The sequence below is a fragment of the Homo sapiens genome, chromosome 4 (genome assembly GCF_000001405.40).
Source record: "Homo sapiens chromosome 4, GRCh38.p14 Primary Assembly".
Taxonomy (NCBI): domain Eukaryota; kingdom Metazoa; phylum Chordata; class Mammalia; order Primates; family Hominidae; genus Homo; species Homo sapiens.
This window is the reverse complement of record NC_000004.12, coordinates 160,670,051-160,692,069: the sequence shown is the minus strand read 5'-3', so window position 1 is coordinate 160,692,069 and position 22,019 is coordinate 160,670,051. Positions and strand designations below refer to the sequence as shown.

At 34.1% G+C, this 22,019-nt stretch overlaps 2 annotated features.

Annotated features, from left to right (window-relative positions):
* Positions 5,512–6,011: an enhancer, noted in NCBI's record as "H3K4me1 hESC enhancer chr4:161607211-161607710 (GRCh37/hg19 assembly coordinates)". NCBI's record gives its function as "activates a minimal SCP1, AML or CMV promoter by ChIP-STARR-seq in primed H9 embryonic stem cells {active_cell/tissue: H9 hESC(primed)}" and the evidence as "EXISTENCE:reporter gene assay evidence [ECO:0000049][PMID:30033119]".
* Positions 6,012–6,513: an enhancer, noted in NCBI's record as "H3K4me1 hESC enhancer chr4:161606709-161607210 (GRCh37/hg19 assembly coordinates)". NCBI's record gives its function as "activates a minimal SCP1, AML or CMV promoter by ChIP-STARR-seq in primed H9 embryonic stem cells {active_cell/tissue: H9 hESC(primed)}" and the evidence as "EXISTENCE:reporter gene assay evidence [ECO:0000049][PMID:30033119]".

The following is a 22,019-nucleotide window of genomic DNA, read 5'->3' as shown; positions in this document are numbered from 1 at the left end:
GCTTTTGTCTTCTTCATTATGAAATATTTTCCAGGTTCTGTGTCCAGAGTTGTATTTCTTAGGTAATTTTCCAGGGTTTTTATAGTTTTAAGTTTTACATTTAAGTCTTTAATCCACCTTGAGTTGATTTTTGTATATAATGAAAGGAAGGGGGTTCTGTATCAATCTTCTGCACTTGGCTAGACAGTTATCTCAGTACCATTTAGTAAATAGGAAGTCCTTTCCCCATTGCTTGTTTGTGTCAGGTTTGCTGAATATCAGATGGTTGTATGTGTGCAGCATTATTTCTCGGCTCTGTATTCTGTTCCATTGGTCTATGTGTCTATTTATCTACCAGTACCATACTGTTCTGATTATTGAAACCTTATAGTGTAGTTTGAAGTAAAGTAATGTGACTCCTCCAACTTTCTTTCTTTTGCTTAAATTTGAATTGGCTATTCAGGCTTTTTTTTTTTTACACCTGAAATTCTTTTTTAAATTTCTAGTTCTGTGAAGAATGTAATTGGCAGTTTGATAGGAATAACATTGAATCTGTAAATTGCTTTGAGCAGTATGGTACAATACTTATTATTCCTAACCATAAGCATGGAAAGTCTTTTTATTTGTTGAGTCTTCTCTGATTTCTTTCAGTAGTGTTTTGTAATTATTGTTGTAGAGAACATTTACTTCCATGGTTAGCTGTATTCCTAAGTATTTTATTCTTTTTATGGTTATTGTGAATGAGATTGCATTCCTGACGACTCTGAGCTTGGATGTTGTTGGTGTATAGGAATGCTACTAATTTTTGTACATTGATTTTGTATCCTAAAACATTGCTGAAGTTACCTTTCAGATCAAGGAGCTTTTGGGCAGAGACAGTAAGATTTTCTAAGTATGGAATTATATTATCTGCAAACGGAGATAGTTTCATTCCCTTCTTCCCATTTGGATGCATTTTATTTCCTTCTCTTGCTTGATTCCTCCGGCTAGAATTTCCAGTACTATGTTGGATAGGAGTGATAAGAGAGGACACACTTGTCTTGTTCTGGTTTTTGAGAGGAATTCTTTAAGCATTTGCCCATTCAGTATGATGTTGGCTGTAGGTTTGTTATATATGGTCCTTATTATTTTGAGGTATGTTCCTTTAACATGAAGGTATGTTGAATTTTATTGAAAGCCTTTTTGGCATCTATTGAAATAATCGTGTGGTTTTTGTTTTTAGTTCCCTTTTTGTAATGAATCACATTTATTGATTTGCGTATGTTGAACAAATCTTTCATCCCAGGGATAGAGCCTACTTGTTCATGGTGGATTAGCTTTTTGTTGTGCTGCTGTATTCAGTTTGCAAGTATTTTATTGAATATGTTTGCATCTATGTTTATCAAGGATATTGGCCTGAAGTTTTCTTTTGTTTGTTGTACCTCTGCCACATTAAACTATTAGGATGATGTTGGCCTCATAGAATTAGTTAGTGAGGAGACCTTCCTCTTCAATTTTTTGAAATACTTTCAGTAGGAAAAGTACCAGCTCTTCTTTATACATCTGGTAGAATTCAGCTATGCATCTTGTCTGGGGCTTCATTCTGGTTGGTAGGGGTTTATTCTTGTTGGTAGGCTTTTTATTACTGATTCAATTTTGGAACTCATTATTAAGGATTTAATTCTTCCTAGTCCAATCTTAGTAGGTTGTATATTTCCAGGAATTTTTTTCATTTCTTCTAGGTTTTCTGGCTCGTGTGCACAGAGGTGTTCATAGTTATCCCTGATTTTTTTTTGTATTTACTGGGGGTTAATGGTAATGTCCTCTTTGTCATTTCCGATTATGTTTATATGGATCTTCTCCCTTTTTTTCTTTATTGGTCTATCTAGCAGTCTATCAATCTTATTCATTCTTTCAAACAACCAGCTTCTGGATTATTTGATCTTAATATGGTTTTCTGCATCTCAATTTCCTTCAGTTCAGTGCTAGTTTTGCTTATTTCTTGTTTTCTGCTAGCTATAGGGTTGGTTTGTACTTGTTTCTCTATTTCCTCTGATTGTGATTTTAGGTTGTTAATTTGAATTCTTTCTAACTTTTTGATGTGTGTATTTCGTGCTATAAACTTACCTTTTAACACAGCCTTAGCTGTGTTCCAGAGATTCTGATATGTTGTATCTTTGTTTTCATTGTTTCAAAAACATTATTGATTGTAATTATAATTTTATTATTTACCCAGAAGTCATACAGGAGCAGGTTATGTAATTTCTTCTTTTTTAGCTTGCATAATTTTATTTTGTAGACAATTTGCATAGTAAATTGTCCCATCAGCAAATTATCCCATCAAATGGAGAGTGAAAATTATATATTATTTATTTGTTGGAATTCCATGGCAACGTTAGATTTCTTATTATTTTGAAATTGAGCAGTATTATCAAACTTGTTTTTTAAAAAGAAGGCCGGGCACAGTGGCTCACGCCTGTAATCCCAGCACTTTGGGAGGCCGAGGCAGGCAGATCACGAGATCAAGAGATTGAGATCATCCTGGCCAAGACGGTGAAACCCCGTCTCTACTAAAAATATACAAAAATCAGCCAGGCATGGTGGTGCACACCTGTAGTCCCAGCTACTCAGGAGGCTGAGGCAGGAGAATCCCTTGAACCTGGGAGGCGGAGGCTGCAGTGAGCCGAGATTATACCACTGCCCTCCAGCCTGGGCAACAGAGCAAGACTCTGTCTCAAAAAAAAAAAAAAAGAAAGAAAGAAAAAGAAATGCAGCTTTGTTTTACTCTTCAATATCAGCCACCTCAGTCTCCAAAGAGTAATTTAAGTATACTGATAAAGAGCAGGAGTTCCAGAGCCAGATTTCCTAGATTTGATTTCTGCAACTGTCACTTACTAGCTTTGTGACCGTGGAAAAATGACTTAACTCCTCTGTGTCTCAGTTTCTTCATCTGTAAAATAGGTATAATAATAATGATCTCATAAGTTATTGTGAAAAGTAAATGAATAATCTAAAAAACTAATAGCACAAAGTGCTTGGGAAATATTAACCACCATCATTACCTTCTTCATGATTAATGGCTTGTATATTATTAGCAATTTATACAGTTATTTTGTTGTCAATCGAGATGTATAAATTATTTTCTCAAAGTGGTATTTTTCTAAAAGCAGTGCATTTAATCTTTTTGATTAGTATAATATGCTGTCTACTGTATTTTTATTATAGTCATTTAGCTTCTCTTAGCTTTCAGGAACATTTTATTACATCTCTACTATGTCAGTTAAGGCAGCCTGAGAGGCATTGTTAAGAGTTTTCTTTTACTTTTTAAAAAATGTTGCTTAATGTAGCTTTAGGGAATTACACTTTTTCTATTTTTTTTTTCTGACATAAGTATACTCTAACACTGAAAGTTTGTCCTTAACTCTCAACTGCATGTTACATAATAATGTCTATGCAATTCTATGGTTTTGCATGATTCTCTAAGCACTTATTTTTATTTTTATTGTGTTGTGGTCTGAGAGTATGGTTGGTATAATCTCATGCTTTATTTTTTTATATATATTTTGCACAGGATTGTTTTTTGCTTAATTGTGTAGTCAATTTTAGAGTATGTGCCATGTGCAGATGAGAATAATATACATTCTGTTGTTTTGAGGTGGAGAGTTCTATAGATGTCTATTAAGTATATTTGGTCACATGTTGAATTCAGGTCCCGTATACATTTGTTAGTTTTCTGCCTCAATAATCTGTCTAATACTGTCAGTGAGATGTTAAAGTCTCACACTATCTTTGTGTGGTTATCTAAATCTCTTAGTAGGTCTCTAAGAACTTGCTTTATGAATCTGGTTGCTCCTGTGTTTGGTTTGTATACATTTAGGATTAGTTAGGTCTTCTTGTTGATGTGACCCTTTACCATAATGAAATGCCCTTCTTTGTCTTTTTTCATCTTTCTTGTTTTAAAATCTGTTTTGTCTGAAACTATAACTGCAATCTTTTTCTATCTTCTTTTTTCTATATTCTTGCTAGATTTTTCTCCATCCTTTTACTTTGATCCTATGGGCATCACTGCATGTGAGATGTCTCCCTTGAAGACAGCATACCATTAGGTCTTGCTTCTTCATGCAGCTTGCTGCTCTGTGCCTTTTAATTGGGGCATTTAGCTTATTTACATTCAAAGTTAGTATTGATATGTGAAGATTTGATCCTGTCATAATGTTGCTAGCAGGTTATTATGCAGACTTCTTTGTGTGGCTGCTTTACAGTGTCAAAGATCCATGCATTTAAGTATGTTTTTGTAATGGCCACTAAGAGTCTTTCCTTTCCATATTTAGCACTCCCTTCAGGACCTCTTCTAAGGCAAGTCTGGTGGTAAAAAAAAAAAAAAATCCCTCAGCATTTGGTTGTTCATAAAGCCTCTTATTTCTCCTTCACTTATGAATTTCAGCTTGCTTGGACATGAAATTCATAGATGGAAATTATTTTCCTTCAGAATGGTGAATATAAGCCCCAATCTCTTCTGGCCTATAAGATTTCTGCTGAAAGATCTGCTGTTAGGCTGATGGGATTGCCTTTGTAGGTAACTTGCCCCTTCTATCTAGCTGCTTTTAACGTGTTTCTTTATTTGACCTTGGAGAATCTGATTACTATATGTCTTGTTGATGATTTTTTTTGTGCAGCATTTTGCAAGGGTCCTCTGTATTTCCTAAATGTGAATGTTGACCTCCCTAGGGAGGTTGGGGAAATTTTCATAGATGATATACTGAAATATGTTTTTCAGGTTGCTTGGTTTCTGTCCTTCTCTTTCAGGGACATCATTGAGTCATAGATTTGGTCTCTTTACATAATTCCATATTTCTTGGAGGTTTTGTTTTTCCTTCTTTATTTTTTTTTCTTTATTTTGTCTTTATTGAGTCATTTTGAATAGCCAGTGTTCAAGCTCTGAAATTCTTTCAGCTTGGTCGATTGTGCTTATAATACTTTTGATTGTATTCTGAAATTATTGAAGTCAGTTTTTCAGCTCTATGAGATGTTTGTTTTTTCTTAAAGTAGCCATTTTGTCCTTCATATCCTGTAGTGTTTTATTGTATTCCTTAAAATCTTTGAATTAGGTTTCAACTTTCTACTGAATCTCAATGATCTTCATTCCTATCCATATTCTGTATTTTATTTCTGTTATTTCAGCCATTTCAGTCTTACTAAGAACCATTACTGGGGAGCTAGTATAGTCTTTGGGAGGTTAGGAGACACGCTGGATTTTCAAGTTGCCAGAGTTCTTGTGCTGATGCTTTCTCATATTTGTAGGCTGATATCCCTTCAATCTTTGAAGTTGATGTTTAATGGATAAATTTTATTTTTTTGTTGTTGTTTCTTTTATCTTCTTTGATGTCCTTGGGGGTTTGATCACTGAATAAAGTAGGTTTAGTTGGCTGGCTTTGTTTCTGGAAGATTTTAGGGGGTCAAGGCTCAGCTCTGGATTCCTGTGCTGTGTGCTCTAAATCTGGGGGGCTAATATTAGGCCCCCTGATTTGTTCTCTGGCACCTTGATGTTGGGAACCTGCTATTCTACAGAGGTCAAGGTGTTCTCTGTTGGTCACAACACTCTGATGGGTGGGGCTAGCCAAAGTGCTTTGTCTGGTAGTGGCAACAAAATCAGTGCTCATTTACATTTGCCAGTAGCAGTAGCAGTGCAGTCTGGTGCACACTTGTCAGCTGACGGGGGTTGCTGGCAGGCATAGGGTGCCAGCCCTCTTGTGGGTGTTTACAGTGGCAGCAATGGTGGCATGGCACGAAGGGTGAAGAGATGGGGCCAATAGTGTCTGTGTGGAAGCAGGAAACCAGTGGGCATGGGACTGGTGGTCTCCGTGCATGTGATCACATGGGTAGCAATGGTGGCACAGGGCAGGGGGGGCAGAGCTATTGGTCTCCTGGTGCACTTTCACATTGACAATGGCATCACAGTGGGGAGCACTGATGCCAGCAGCATTGGCACAGTGAGGAGGCACATGCACACATGCACCAGCAAGGACATGGAGGCAAGGTCTACCTATGTGCATGTGTGCTGGTCAAGCAATGTGGGGGGTGGCCATGGGTGATTGCATGCTTGCAAAGCAGCACATAGGAGGCTGTGGTGTGGGGAAGGTGCTGGTGAGCTGGTGTACATTGGCAAGTGCCATTTTGCTGGGGCTTTCTGATGGTGAGGTGTAGTCTTCCACTGCAGGAGCTATGATGCAGGCCCCCAGGAAGCCCCCTTGCTGGGCACCCAAGGCTACACTGAAAGCAAGTTTGACCTGGCTGGGGCCCCATGAGAGGCCAGCAGACAAAGGGATGCTCAGGTCAGACCAGATCTCTCATGGAAAAGACAGCCCTTGCTCTGTTCAGCTTTGACAATTCTCCTAAGGCTAAAATCTCCTAGGGAATTATGGCAAACCTTGGGGTGGATATCCCAGGCTGTGTTCCACTACAGGCCCTCTTGCACCAAACCCTCTAGGCTTTGCACTGCCTGGAGTTCTGCCTCTATCACCTGTCTAAGCAGCTCTCCAGTGTGCTAGTTTCTGTACTTGTTTATCAAAACCACATGTATCTTTCTCTCTGGCATTTAGAAATTTCTGGCTTTTCCCCTTCAGTGAAACTTGATGAGTTTCCTCACAGTTGTCTGTTCCTTGTTTGGAAAATAATTATGTACAGAATATAAAGAATGTTTCAAATCAGTAACAAAAATGTAGAAAATCAATAGAAAATTTGGCAAAAAGAACCCTGAAGAGATATTTTACAAACAAGAATATCCAACTTTATTAGTCTTTATGAAAGTGTAATTTAAATTTGCTTGTGATGTCAGTATATGGCTACTAAAGCCTCTAGTAAATAGATAAAAAGAAATTAACATCAACTGTGAAAGAAAATGTTGAACAACTGTAATTCCACATTGAAGAAAAGAGTGAAAAATAGTACAGTAACTCAAGAAAAATGTTTAGCAATATTAACCCAACAAAACTGTGTGTATATATTATTTAAACCCCATACACAAAAATCTTAATTGCACCACTATTCAGAAACCAAATATTTAAATTGACTCAAACATCTATCGGAAGCTGTATGGAAAATTAATTTATGGTAAATTAATGAAATGTGATAGTATACAGAATTGAGAATTTGAAAATCAAAATTATCAACAATACCATTAATAAAGCTCACAGTCATGTTGAAGAAATGATACCAGATATTAAAGTATACTGGCTTTATGACAGCATTATATATAATTAAAAATAGGCAAGGGTAATATATCATTTTAGACTTCAGAGAGTGATTGTCCTTACTCAAGTGGTGACTACATGGATGTAGGAGAGGGTTGAGAAATGCTGGCAATTTCCTTTTCATGATCTATGTGCTGATTACATGGATTTGTTCACTCTTTGAAAACACATTACCTCAAACAGTTACAATATGCAATTTTTAGTATGTATACTATACTTCAATGAAATAAAAAATAATAGCTTAATGTATTATCTTTAGTTTTTTTTTTTACTTTCTCAACCAAAAATGATTATTGACTATTTCCTATTGCCTATAAAAAGAATAATTATTCAGTTAATATTCCTAGATTTTATTATTAGGTTAAAAGTAGTATTTTGTTTAAAAAATACAATATTTTTTAAAATGTATAGTTGCTCTTTTTCTCATAGTACCAATAATTTATGTATACTAACAGAATATCATTTTTTAAATATATTACATTAAAGGAGCCATTTTACATATTATTTGAAGTCACTAATGATGACAATAGCAATTAATTTGTAAGACTCTTCTATTTCATCTTGGAGATTACCCAAAGTATGATTTCATAAAAAAGCTATCATTAGAAAATCAGATTTAAATTTCCAACAAGAAGAATGGAAAGTTTTACATTCAACATTTTTTTCACTAATAATTGCCACAAAAGTGGAACTGTCATGTTCAATTTTCTTTTCTGTTATCTCTTTAATAAGACGAATGTAGAAGAAAACATCTTCCACACTATTAAAAGTATAATTGGACTGGATTGATCCTTGAGTTTGATTTGCTAATTGTCCCAGATTCTTTCTTATTGTAATATCTTTTTCCCCTGAAAGAAATATAGGAGAGTGCTGAATGAAAATTGCCTATCACAGGCTATCAAACTTTAGTGCTGCAATTGATTACAATAATTTTCCAGAAATAGAGAATTTTGTTTAGGTAGGTTGAAGATTACAAAACAATAATTTAGCCAGAGACTGTCAACATATCAGTGAATGAGTCTTTATATGTGATATGTGATTGTCTGTGAATTAATTAAATTGTTTTGACCATTTTAAACTTCCATATATAGTTACAAACATATTTTATGTGTGTACCTGTATTTTAGGTACATAGATCATCAAACAAAAGTTGCTGTCAACAGGACAATTTTGTGATTAAGACAAGGTTTACTCACTGTGTATCTACTTTTAATTATTCATATTCAGACATTTATCATAAACATTAAGTGTTTAAAGTGTTTAGTGTATGTTAGATACTTCTATAACTACTGAATATGTATGGCAGGTAAGATTAACCAAAAAGAGTCCTTACAGAACTCTTACTCCAGTATCCTAGATGTATAATGCTCAAGTAAACTATTATGCATTCATTTTAATGTGACATATTTTTTTTTCTGGAAAATATATAGATAAACCCATAGAGCAGCTAAAGATATATGCTATTTTTCTACATCCAATACAGGATGAGATTGCCCTTGTTATGTAGTATAGTGAATTCAGAGCTTTCCTCAGCAGTTGTGCCAGGACCCCGATGGCTGTCTGTAGTATTTACAAGGACCATTCTTTTCTGGCTTTCTTGGGACCGAGTGACTTCCTGCTTTCAATGGACCATTATTAAAAGCTATTCATTATACAGAACATAGTGTCTGCATTAAAAGACACAGAACATTAAAACAATAAAACTTTTTTCTTTAGGAACTGAGGAATTACTTCAACAGATTTAGTATTTATCAGCCTGCATTTGTAATTTACCTTTTATGATTCTGTCAATTTTATCACTGTAATTAATCATAGCTGTCATGAATGTTCACTCTGGTCAGAATGTTATGGCAAGAAATGTATTTAACCTTTCACAATAAACAATTATATCATAGATAAAGTAATATAATAATATTTGAAAGTAAGATATGATAACTTAAAAATAAAAATTATATACTGCATAGCAATGAATAAAAAGAAAAAAGCATAGTTAAGAATCCAATATTAGAGATGAAACAGTTTTGAAAATTACCACAATAATAAAAATGAAGAAAAAATTTTAAAAATGTTTACAGCATATACAAAGTATAGAGTAAGATGTTAGATTAAATGAAACTATATTGAATTTTACATTAAATATAAATCACATAAATCCAAGCAAAAGAAATAATTTGCCAGAGTGAAAAAAATCCACTTTTAAATATTTTTAAGAAACCTATTTAAAATATAAAGATATACATTGATTAAAAATAAAACAAAGAAAAACATTTATTATAGTACAGCCAAACCCAAGAAATCTGAAATGGTTATAGTGATATCAGATAACATGGACTTGAGAAAAAAAATTATTAGAGAAAAATGATGTATAATGATGAAGGTATCATTTTATTAAAAAGCAATAGCAATCCTAAATGTGTTTCATGAAATTACAGATGTCAAAATATATAAAGCAATATTAACATGTGGAAAAATAGACCAACTGGCAATTATAGTTTAGTATTTCAATACTCTTCTCAATAACTAATAGAACAAAGAGAAAATCATTAAGCCTATAGAATATTTGAACAGTTCTTTCAATTGACCTTAACCAATAGATGTCTTATTATATTAAACCCAAAACTATAGTATACATATGCTTTATATTGTACATGGTATATCCACTCTTATAGATTACATATTGTGCCATAATACAAGACTCAAGAAATTAAAATATACAGATCATGCTGATCACAACTGATTTAAATTAAATTATCAGTAACATAAATTTACCTAGAAAATTATCATATATTTAAATATATGATACAGAATACATCACCCATGAAAAAAGGAGAATCTGTGATAAATTAGAATATATATTGGACTGATTAAAAATATAAACACAACATATCAAAATTTGTGGGATATAGCTAGTGAGGTGTTTAAAGGAAGATTTTTAGTTTAAGTTCTTATGTTAAAAAAAGGGGACTGTATCTGTCAATAATCAAACCATCTGCCTTAGAAAGTAGATTAAAAAATTATTCCCAAGGCTTTTTGAGGAAAGGAATAATTAAAAATATTAATAATTGATATAGAAAATAGAAAAGGAAAAATATTAATATTCCCAAAGGCTATTTTTTGAAACAAAAATTAATAAAAATTCATAGGCCATTAGCTAATCTGGTAAGATAAAAAGAGAGAAGACACAAATAAGCAGTATCAATAATGAGAGGAAAGACCTCACAACAAGCCTATAGACTATAAAAGAATCATAAGAGAGGCTTATGAGGAATTTTATTCTAGTAAACTTGATAAGGGAGTTGGAAAGATTCCTTGAAAGATGCAAATAGACAAAATTAACTTAAAAAGAAACTCAAACTTGTATTAGTAATTAAAAAGCTTCTCACAAAGAACATTTAAGTCAGATAATACAATAGTGACTTCTATGAAAAAATCTGAGAAAGAAGGAATATCAATCACACAAAAACTCTTTCTGAAAAGTAAAGGCAGAAGATGTATTGTCTCGCTTATTTTATAAGGTTCACACTACCATTATAAACCAAAATCATACCAAGTAAGGAAAACCACTAAAACAGATGCAAAAATCACAAACAAAATATTACCCAATAGAATCCAATAATAAATAAAAAGGATAATAAATCAAGGTTGGCTTAATGTTTGAAAATTCAATATAATCCACAAATATAAAGTTCCACCTAATTAAATAAAAATATAATTTTAAAACTCTCAGTAAATTAGGAATAGTAAGGAACTTTCTCAAACAGGTAAAGATCATCAATAAAAATCTCATAGCTAATGTTATACCCATGAGGAAATACAAAGTTATTTCCTTCTGAGGTCAAAAATAAGGCATGGGTATCTGCTCCCAGACCTTATACTCAACACTATATTAGAGATACTAGCTATTTCAATTAAGCAAGAAAAAGAAAGTAAGGACATACAGATTTCACAGATTGAAAGAAATAAAGAAACTGTCTTTATTTGTAGATGATATGATTGTATACTTAGTGAATCTTAAAGAATCTCCAAAAAAGTTACTAGTATCAAGTTTGCAAGATTTAGTGTCAATATGAAAAATTCGTTTTTTCTTTATACTAACAATTATCAAGGGAAATTAAAATTTTAATATAGCATTTATTTTTTTCTTACTCTGTTTTATGGGGCTGATAATATATCATTTAAAATAGCATGAACATAAAATACTTAGAGATACATTTAACACAGTATATGCAACATCTTTACACTGAAAATTCAAAACATTAATGAGAGGAATTATAGAAGTCCTAAATAATTGGACAGATGCATTATTTTCATAGGTTGGATGGCCAACACACTTCTGATATCACAATACTAATATTTATTATGAAAAAAGGTTATATCTTAAACAAAATTATGGCAAACTGATTCCAAAACTATAAAAAAGCAAATACACAATGACTATGTTAGGTTAATCTCAGTAGGACAAGGATGTTTTATTATGTAAAGAATTTAGAATGAAATTCACACAACAAGAGATCAGGTAGAAAACTTGTATGATAATTTCAATAAACAAAAATATATATGACAAAATGCAATATAAATTCATAATTGCAGAACAACTATCTCAGTGATATTGGAGTCATAAATGTTGGTTAAGAGGAAATTCAGTTGTCATTATTCTCAAAAAATCAATAGTATACATTTTAAAACTAAACAAAACTATTAGAATAAGAAAATGTGTAACATTTCTTAATATGTGATTTATATACAGACGTAAGTTGCAATTCTATATTTTTGAAACAAACTAAGAGTAAACTATGAGAATAACCCCAAAGAATATATATATTTTGAAAAAATACAAGAAATGTTTAATATTTTTATGTGACAAACTATGCAAATTTTCATAGAAAATATAAAAATCTAAGGAAATAGGAAAAGATTCATGTTTATGAATAGAAAAAACAAATATTGTAAAGCTACTGATTTTTCGCAATTATTTCCATTTAATTGATTTAATGCAATTCAAGTAAAAAATGCTAATACTTTTTTTGTAGTATTTGATAAAATATTTCAAAGATTTATGTGAGAGGTAAATTAGACAAGAAACCAAGACATTTCTGAATAGCAAGGAAAGAATGCTTGCACTACAGGATATCAAGACTTATAAAACCACAGTAATTAATATAGTATTAATTATAATATAATATATTAATGGAACATAGTTGAATAATTTTACTTACAGACTAGAATTCAAAGACAGTCATTTGCAGCTCTTTGTAGCATGGCAGAATTAGCTTGGAAGTTCAGTTAAAAATTATTTTTAATACATAGAGCAAAAAAAATTCTTATGAAATAAATGCACTTGGATTCCCTTCTTACATCATTAACAAAGTTAAATCTATATAAACCAAGAATTTAAATGTAAAAGTAGTATTTTAAGAAATTTTGTAAAATTTAATTGATGTATTTCTGAGCTTGTGGTAATGAAGCATTTCCTAAATAAAAAAAAAATTTCATTTATAAAACAAAAAAAAATGACAACTGGGATGACATTGAAATGAGAAAGCTCTAAATCAAAAGCATTTCATAGAAATTGAAAATACCAGTTTCACAGTAGAGGAATATATTTGCAACACATATAACCAATAAAGAAATATAAAAAAAACTCCTACAGATCAGTATGAAAATAAAAACCTCAATCATATTTATGATCAGATAAATGGAAATTGAAACCAGAACAAGATTTAATTTCACATATTTTTCAAGACAAAAATCAAGTATGAGACCGTCACGTGCTTGAAAGAATGTGATTAATCACAAACTCATTTACTGTAGACTGCAGATATTGTACCAGTTTGTACAGCCATTTTTAAATATAATTTTACATTAGCTTGGAAATTTTAGATTTTATACTTGTTACTATCCATGATTTTCACTGTTTAGTACATATAAAAGAAAAACAAATATAAATGTATTCTAAGATAATAAGCACGTTAATAGCAGCATTCTTCAGAATAGCAGAAATATGCCTATCAACAGGGGAATGGCTAAACCAAGTGTGAGACATTAAAACAATGAAAAATTAAATATTAACCACAGCTATCTATGGTGATGTTGATGAATCATATGAATATAATATTTGGTTTAAAAATCACAAAAGACTACATAAAATGTGTTACTATTTCCACAAAATTAAAATATCTAATATGAAACCAAGACACCTCATAGTAATACTTAGAAATGTAACCAAACTAAAATTTTTAAGAGAAACAATGACAACAACAGATTTAAGATCATGGTTATCCTGGGTGCTTGAAGGTAGGAAAATAGAGTTGGGTTGTATCATATTGGAGTAAATGAATTATTGTCAATATTTTATTTGTCATATTGGGTGAGTGTTATATTGATAATTATATTTTTAAAAACAAACAAATATAAACATACTTATATTCAAGCAAGTGAGCAATGCATTGATCAATGGTAAAATAATGTCAGGAATTAGATGATGAATAGCCCAATTCTATGCCTCAGAAAACTAGAAATTAGAAGTTAACAAAACACACACACACACACACACACACACACACACACACAGGCAAATTTTTTGGAATAACTTCAAAGCCTTTCTTTATATTGTCACAACTTTCCTATGCAACTTTATTTTTTGCCAGTCTGTGTCTAATATTGCATGTTGTACCTGCAGCAAGTCACTTACATTTTTTTCTAACGTGTAATACTTTCTCTTCATGTCCTTTGTCTTCTGTGACTATATATTGTAGCTTTTTCCTAGCTCATTTGGTTCATCCTTTATTTGATTTATTTACGTGAGATGAGGTCTTGCTCTGTCGCCCAGGCTGGAATGCAGTGATGCGATCACAGCTTACTGTGGCCTTAGATTCTCCCAGGCTCAAGCAATCCTCTCACCTCAGCTTCCCAAGTAGCTGAGACCACAGGCACGTGCCACCACATCCAGCTAATTTTTGTATTTATTGTTGAGATGAGGGCTCACTATGTTGCTCAGGCTGGCCTCAATCTCCTGGCCTTGAGCAATCCTCTGGCCTCGGCCTTCCAAAGCACTGGGATTACAGGCGTGAGCCACCATGGGCAGCTTTTCATCCTTTTATAGTCTAGTTCAGCTTCTATTTTTTAAAAGACGTCTCTGGTTCTTTACTTGCTCAGAAAACATATCTAATTCTGTGCTTTCATAATACACTTGGCTGTTAGATTTGGAAGTAGCGCTTCTTCCACTAGACCATAAGCAATTTAAAATCTGGAAATGCATATTTTTAGTCTGCAAATTCCCAAATAAGTACTACACCAAGAATGTAAGCAGACATTCAATAAATATCAAATTAAATCAAGGGTATCACTATGAACTCACTAATTGAAAACTGTTGGACTATATCCTTTCTAACTACTGCTCATTATAAAGGCTACCATCTCAGATGAACTCTAAGCTGTTCAACAATTTAGTAGACTAGAGCTCTAGGAATTTTATGCCACGGGCATAACTCACAACCACTGTTAAAGGTAGATACAGAAAAAAAAATTATCCCCCTCTTTCCCTTCCTTCCTCCTTCCCTCACTTCCAAATACTAACTCAAAAATCTCCCAGAAAATCTAGTTTTGGGCAGGCCCTTTTTTCTTCTCTCCTCTAAATTTTCTCCTTCATGGAAATGGACAAGAACTTCTTTCTCAGTCCTTCCCGGGACACCGCTGTTCTCTTCAACTCCTCATCTTCCTTCACTGCACTAAGCCTCCTTCTTATGTGCTGTGTCATCCCCCTGAGGAATTAAATCTATTTGAAATATGTTTTCTGTGGAAGAATCAACTTGATTTTTCAAAAATAAGAAAAGCACTGCCACGGACTTGTCATTTACCTGAATTTTGTTAGAAACAGAACATAGGACCTAACCAAGGAGCAAGAGTTTTTATTGAAACTGGAGGAATATGAAAGAACATCTGTGAACACTTAGTTGTTCGTAAGTTCTGTAATTTCTTTTCTTTGTTTTTTTTTTTTTTTGAGATGGAGTCTCATTCTGTCATCCAGACTGGAGTGCAATGGCGTGATCTCAGCTCACTCCAACCTCCATCTCCTGGGTTCAAGCAATTCTCCTGCCTCAGCCTCCTGAGTAGCTGGGATTACAGGCACACACCACCACGCCTGGCTAATTTGTGTGTGTGTGTTTGTGTGTGTGTGTTGGTGTGTGTGTGTTTTTAGTAGAGACGGAGTTTCACCATATTGGTCAGGCTGATCTCAAACTCCTGACCTCGTGATCCACCTGCCTTGGCCTCCCAAAGTGCTAGGATTATAGGTGTGAGCCACCACACCTGGTCAAGTTTCGTAATTTCTATACAGGTCTTAATGTTGCTAATTTAGTACCAATATCTATTCTCTCCTCTATCTCAATGATAGACCCTTCACATTTATCCTTACTCAGGACCAGAGTAGAGCCCTATATTTTCAGTCTTTCTTGTGGACATGTAGGTGTATGGCAAAATTCTGGTCAATGGAATCAACAGAGATATCATGAAGAAAATTACTGAAAACTTCCTTAAAAGAATGCTGATGCATGCCCCTTGACCAAGTTTTTTCTTCCTCCATTATATATTTATTCTCTTCATATTGCAACTTGATGGCCGATATTGGAAAAAATACATTCTCTTTATAGACCGTCTCACATAAACCACTCCCTCTTGCCAACTATCTGAGGCTAAGATGCACACATAGTGCAACGTTACTTCTAAATAATTAAGCAAAATTTCCAAAGAAGGACATTTGTGTACGCAAATGCATTCACCATTAGCACACTGAAGAACATCGACTTTTATTTAACAGCACACAATATATGGTAAATCAACAAAGTTCACCGATTTTCCCCTATTTTTACCTGATTTCTTATTCAGAAACCAATAAATATTCACATAAGTCATCACATAAGTGATGACTGTTTAATTTCTAAATATCTGAAACCCCCCTGCCCCATCCCAATTTCTCTTTATTGTTCTTGGCACAAAAATTTTGAAGGATCCAGGCCATTCCAGAACATTCTGCATTGTGGACTCATCTTGCTATTCCTCAAGGCTTGATTTAGGTCCAACATTGCTGACAAAACACCATAGAGTGGATATTCCGTACTTCCTATTGCGTCACATCTAAAACTATGTAATGTCAAGATGTTCTGCTATTGGTGATTAGGTGGTGCCAAGCTTGATCTCTTTTTGGTTAAGATGCCAAGTGACAGCTATCTCCTAGGAAAAAGCATATACTTCCCTTTGTAATTACTAAGTAATCTGTGAGGTGACATTTTGAAACTGTATATATATCCTGTCCCCCAGCAATCTTTCACTCCATGGTTTTAACATCTATTGGTGATCTCTGTCTGAGTAAACTACATTGGGAGTTTCTCATTTTATCATTCCTCATCTATTAATTAATGGATATTCTTCAGTAAAGAAGTACTTTTCTTTCCGCCTTCATCTTTTATTGAGTATAACTATAGACTAACAGATTTTGAAAGTTCAAGTTATTATTGAATATACCATAAATATTATTATTATTAATCTTATTTTGAGGCTTATGGTATCCAAACTTAGACCAGTAGAAACCATTACAAATTGGCTGCTTTTCTTGTGGACATGACCCTATTACTTGTTGAGCACTATATATGTATATATATAAATATATTATATATATTTCATATTGAATTTCATATCGATGCTCCAGTTTCAGCTATCTTACCAAATTTTTCTTTATTTCCTTGCTTTTTCAGTAAAAATTTTGGTTTCCAACCTTATCAATATATCTTTATTAATTTGAGGTTTCATTCAGTACTGATGAAGTGATTTCAGAATTACAAAATGAATACCATACCAACAAGAATACTAAATAAAGTTCAAGATTGTCTTGCAGTTCTCTTTGTCCTTAAAATATGTTCCATTAAAGGTATACAATTAAAATACAGTGTTGAAAATTACATGAATTATTTTCCACATATTTATGTAAATTTGGCACAAAATGGGTATAAAGTTAGGATTATTTATTTATATTTAAGTTCAGAATTTGCTTTGGGGGGGCAATTCTTTGGCTTCTTTTAAAATTATCATAATATTAGTTACCTGTAAGTGTTCTTATTGTGTCACTAATTATTAATCTATTTTAAATAAATCAAATAACCTGTTAAAGACCTGAATTCTCCTTAATCTTGAATATTTTTACTATATTTTATTTAAATCTCTTCAGGTATATTTCTATGATTCTGTCTCTGTAATTAGTCCCCTGTGGTTATTCTTCATCAGCAGGTATTTTTTTTAGTGTTTCATTGATTGATTGAGTAATTGTTTCACTTCTTTCCTATAACTCCATTAAATCCCAATATGCATTTTAATGTGAAATGCGGAAATACTGTCTTTCAAGAAATTTCAGTCCCAACCTCAAATTCAATATAATATTTTTAATTATATGTTTATCTGTGTACACATATATAGTACACATATATGTATATACATATATGTGTATATATACACACACTCATATATATTTACACACACTTCCATTACTATCTGCTCAACTCTAATTTGAGCTAAATATTTTACTTTCGAAGGTGTTTATGGCTTCTGTGTGTTTGCTCTTGTCAAATTTCTAGTGTAGTCAAAGTGAAAGTTATTTTACCGATTTTAAGAGCTACAAACTGCAAACATTTTAAGCTTTTTCAAATAGTATCCATTTGCTTTTTGCTGCAACTAACTTAATACCTGGCGTGTCATCACACTCCTAATCCATTGTTGACAACAAAATACCAATATTCTCTCTCAAAGCCTCAAATGTTCTATTGAAAAAAAATAATGATTTTCTTTATTTTATAAATCATAGAATTGTGAAAAACGGATGTCTTTTATGTCAATAGAAAACTTCACCCCGTGTATTCCTTCTGTTGCTTCAGTTTTAAAGATCCACTGTATATTGACTTGGTAGAGAAGCATGATATAGGACTGAAACATAAAAATATACCGTGTTATTCATTCAGGAATTAGAAAAGACAATATTTTTATTAGGGGAATAGTGGCTATAATAGTTACTTAATCTAGCAATTGCTTTACTTTGTCCCTGTCCCAACCTTTTTCAAGAGAAGGCTCTTTTACGATGTGGATTTTCTGGCAGGTTATACAGAAATAAGGCCTTTTTTATGGCAATATCACTTGCAGTATTTTTTTCTTTTCTTTTTTTTTTTTTTAAGAGAGCGGGTCTCCATGTGTTCCTATGTTGCCCACGCTGTTCTCGAACTCCTAGGCTCAAGGGATCCTCCTGCCTTGGCCTCCCAAAGTCCTAGGATTACAGACGTGAGCCACCATGCCCAGCCTGACTTGCAATATTTCTTTAAAGTCTCAAAAGATATTCTGAAGCCAATCTAAGTTTGCAAATGTAACTCCATCTTCAAAATAAGTACTTATACATGAAAAAATTTAAGTGTTATATTGTCAACCCCTGTCATATTTCAACTAGCGACTAGTGAAGAGAACAGTAACATGAATATAACTTCCTTTTTAAACACATGCAATAGTCTTTAAATGTGTCAATATAAATAACCTACAGTCCCCAGTGATTCAGTCAATCCCTAATCTATGAGTTACTCTGAAGATATTTTGTAAATGTGATAAAAATACATAAGCAATTGATTTTAGGTAAGGAACATTAACCTGAATAATATTAGTGGGCCTGATTCAGTTGGTTGAAAGGCCTTAAAATCAGAGCTGAGTTTTTCCTGAACAAGAAAAAAATGTTTCCTCTCTATGGCAGCTTCAGCTCATGCCCAAGAATGCTAGCCTGCCCTTCTAGATGGTCTGCTCTACGAATTTTGAACAGCCCCACAATCACACACACCAAGTTACTGCAATAAATCTGTTTAAATACATCTCCTACTGCTTCTTCTTCTCTGGTTGAACTCTAACCCAAATTTAAGTACTGGATGTGGTTCTACAGGAACAGAATCTTGAGGTTATATGTTCTGAATTCATTGTAGTTGTTTAAAAATTGGCTCTATACCCGGCTGGGTGTGGTGGCTCACACCTGTAATCCTAGCACGCTGGGAGGTTGAGGTGGGTGGATCACCTGAGGTCAGGAGTTTGAGATCAGCCTGACCAATATGGTGAAACCTCATCTCTACTAAAAATACAAAAATTAGCCAGCTCTTCTGGCATGAGCCTGTAGTCTCAGCTACTTGGGAGGCTGAGGCAGGAGAATTGCTTGAACCCGGGAGGCGGTTATTGCAGTGAGCCGAGATTGCACCACTGCACTCCAGCCTGGGTGACAGAGCGAGACTCCATCTCAAATAAATAAATAAATAAAAATTGGCTCTAGAATGTGACTAGATTTAAAGGTACTAATAACTCTATTTCCAGTGATAAAGAAAGCATTCGTTGTACAAGGCATATTGTGGCAATCAAGATACACAAAATATTGCTATTAGATATGCCTAATCAAATATTTTATACTTTATATATAAAATATCAAAATTTTATATATTTATTTTACATAATATATATGTACTTACGTATAATATATCTTATATATGTATATATATGTGTGTGTATATATGTGTGTGTGTGTGTGTGTGTGTATATATACATATATATATATATATATGGTAAACTTCTGGATGTCCTTCTATTTGTAGCCTTAGAACATTTTAGTTAAACTTAGGGTATATCATGGTATTTTATGTTTGGTCGTAAGTGTATTGGAAAACAATGATGAAAGAAAATAATGAGCTAATGAGCTCAGGTCTTAAAATTCCCCACACAAGCTCCTCATTAGTGATCCCCAAATTTCTGTATCTTTCCTAGAAAAATCCCTTATGACCTGTACCTGCAGTGATGAGATTTATGAAAACCAAATCCAGAGTCTCATCCTGTGAATGGGTGAATGATAAAGCAAATTCAAGCCCCAATTTCACAGGTTGTGTTATTTTAAAGGTAGGGCACTGATTAGGAAGGAATTGGATACTGAAAATTGGAATGGGGACATAGAGCATCCCGATGGAGCTGGGAATATCAACTCCTAAATTCTGCCGAGCCTTCTTTGCCAGGAGAAGCAGCCCTTTCATTCCTGCCTAAGCATGTCAGCCTCCCCTGAAATATGGCCTCTGCAAGTGCCTTGCACACACTACTGATTCTCCTCAGGACCTACCCCTGCGGGTGAGTCTACTTCTAGACCTATAATCAGATTCAAGTCACAGCAGGTGTTCAAGGGTAAAGTATGAAAGGTGACCTGCAACAAGGTACATTACACTTTCAAAGAACTGGCCAGACGCGGTGGCTCTTGCTTGTTATCCCAGCACTTTGGGAGGCCAAGCGGGTGGATCACTTGAGCTCAGGAGTTGGAGACCAGTCTGGGCTACTCGAGAGGCTGAGGTGGGAGCATCACTTGAGCCTAGGAGATCGAGGTTGCAGTAAGCGAAGATTGTGCCATTGCACTCCAGCCTGGGTGACAGAGTGAGAACCCAATCCATATCAGAAGGAAAGGGAAGGGGAGAGGAGGGGAGAGCGGGGAGAGCGGAAGGGAACAGAAGGGAGGGGGGAGGGAGAGGGAGGGGGAGGGAAGACAGAGAGAGGGAGAGAGACAGGGTTGATTGAATCCCTAACCTGCGTGTTACTCTGAAGGTATTTTGCAAATGTCCAAAGAGGCAGCGGGGAAAATTTGCAAAAGAGGCAAAGCGGATAGAGAGAGAGAGAGGGCGGGGGAGAGAGAGAGGGGGGCAGGGGGGAGACAGGAGATAGAAAGAGAGAGGAAGGAAGGAAGGAAGGAAGGAAGGCAGGCAGGCAGGCAGGCAGGCAGGCAGGCAGGCAGGCAGGCAGGCAGGCAGAGAGGGAGAGAGGGAAGGAAGAAAGGAATATTCAAGTCTGTTTCAGAAATCCCACAACCATCTGAAAGTTGGGGAAATATCTAGGAGGACTCACATCTGTATAACTCTGGTTATACTCATAGCCAACGTTTATTACAGCAAAACACCCAAAGTAAAAGTAAAAATAAAACAATATGCATTACATGAAGTTCAGAGAGGTTAGGTGTCCTCTCCTGAGTTCATCTTTATCTGGGTTTCACAAAATGCCATGCTTAACAACTAGTTTCCAAATTCCTGAAAATTTAACCATTGGTTCTTACAAGTTTTTAGAAGTAAACTCCAGATATCACTGATGCTTACCTCTTTCTTTATCTTGCATAAGAGATTACAGATTTTCCAGCTGTAAACTTTCTATTCCAGATTTCTGGGAAGTCCCAGATTAAATGACTCTATTATTCTCTTAGTTTCTGTATCTGGATTTCTAGTCTGCATCTGTAATAATAGTTAAAACCTCTTTGTAGACTGAGACTCATTTTGCTCTTACATATGTGCCTCCCCTGGAACTGACATGCTATGATGTGATGCTACCAATTCCAAGAACGCATGTGCTTTTCTATGTAGTCTGTGAGCATTACCATCCCTGCAACCTTAGACTCAGATACCTTTGTGCTAATTTCTAGAGCTATATTGATTATAATTCCTTGCATTCTCACTAAAAATTGTCTGGTACCTTGGATATCTTGTTCTAACTTTTTAGCTGTGTCTTTATTCTTAGTCTGGATTCTCCAGTTTCTTCCCCACTGTAGGCTATTCTAAAATTGTTTCTAAGTCTGTCCACTTGTCCATTAGTTTTCTTTTTTGTTTTCTATGTGGGCATTCCCCATGATAAGACAAAAATATAAATTGAATATATTTATTTAGAGATGGTGATGTGCAACATACCTTTTCAACAATTATTTTCATTTTGCTTGTGAGCATCGTTTTTTTTTTTTTT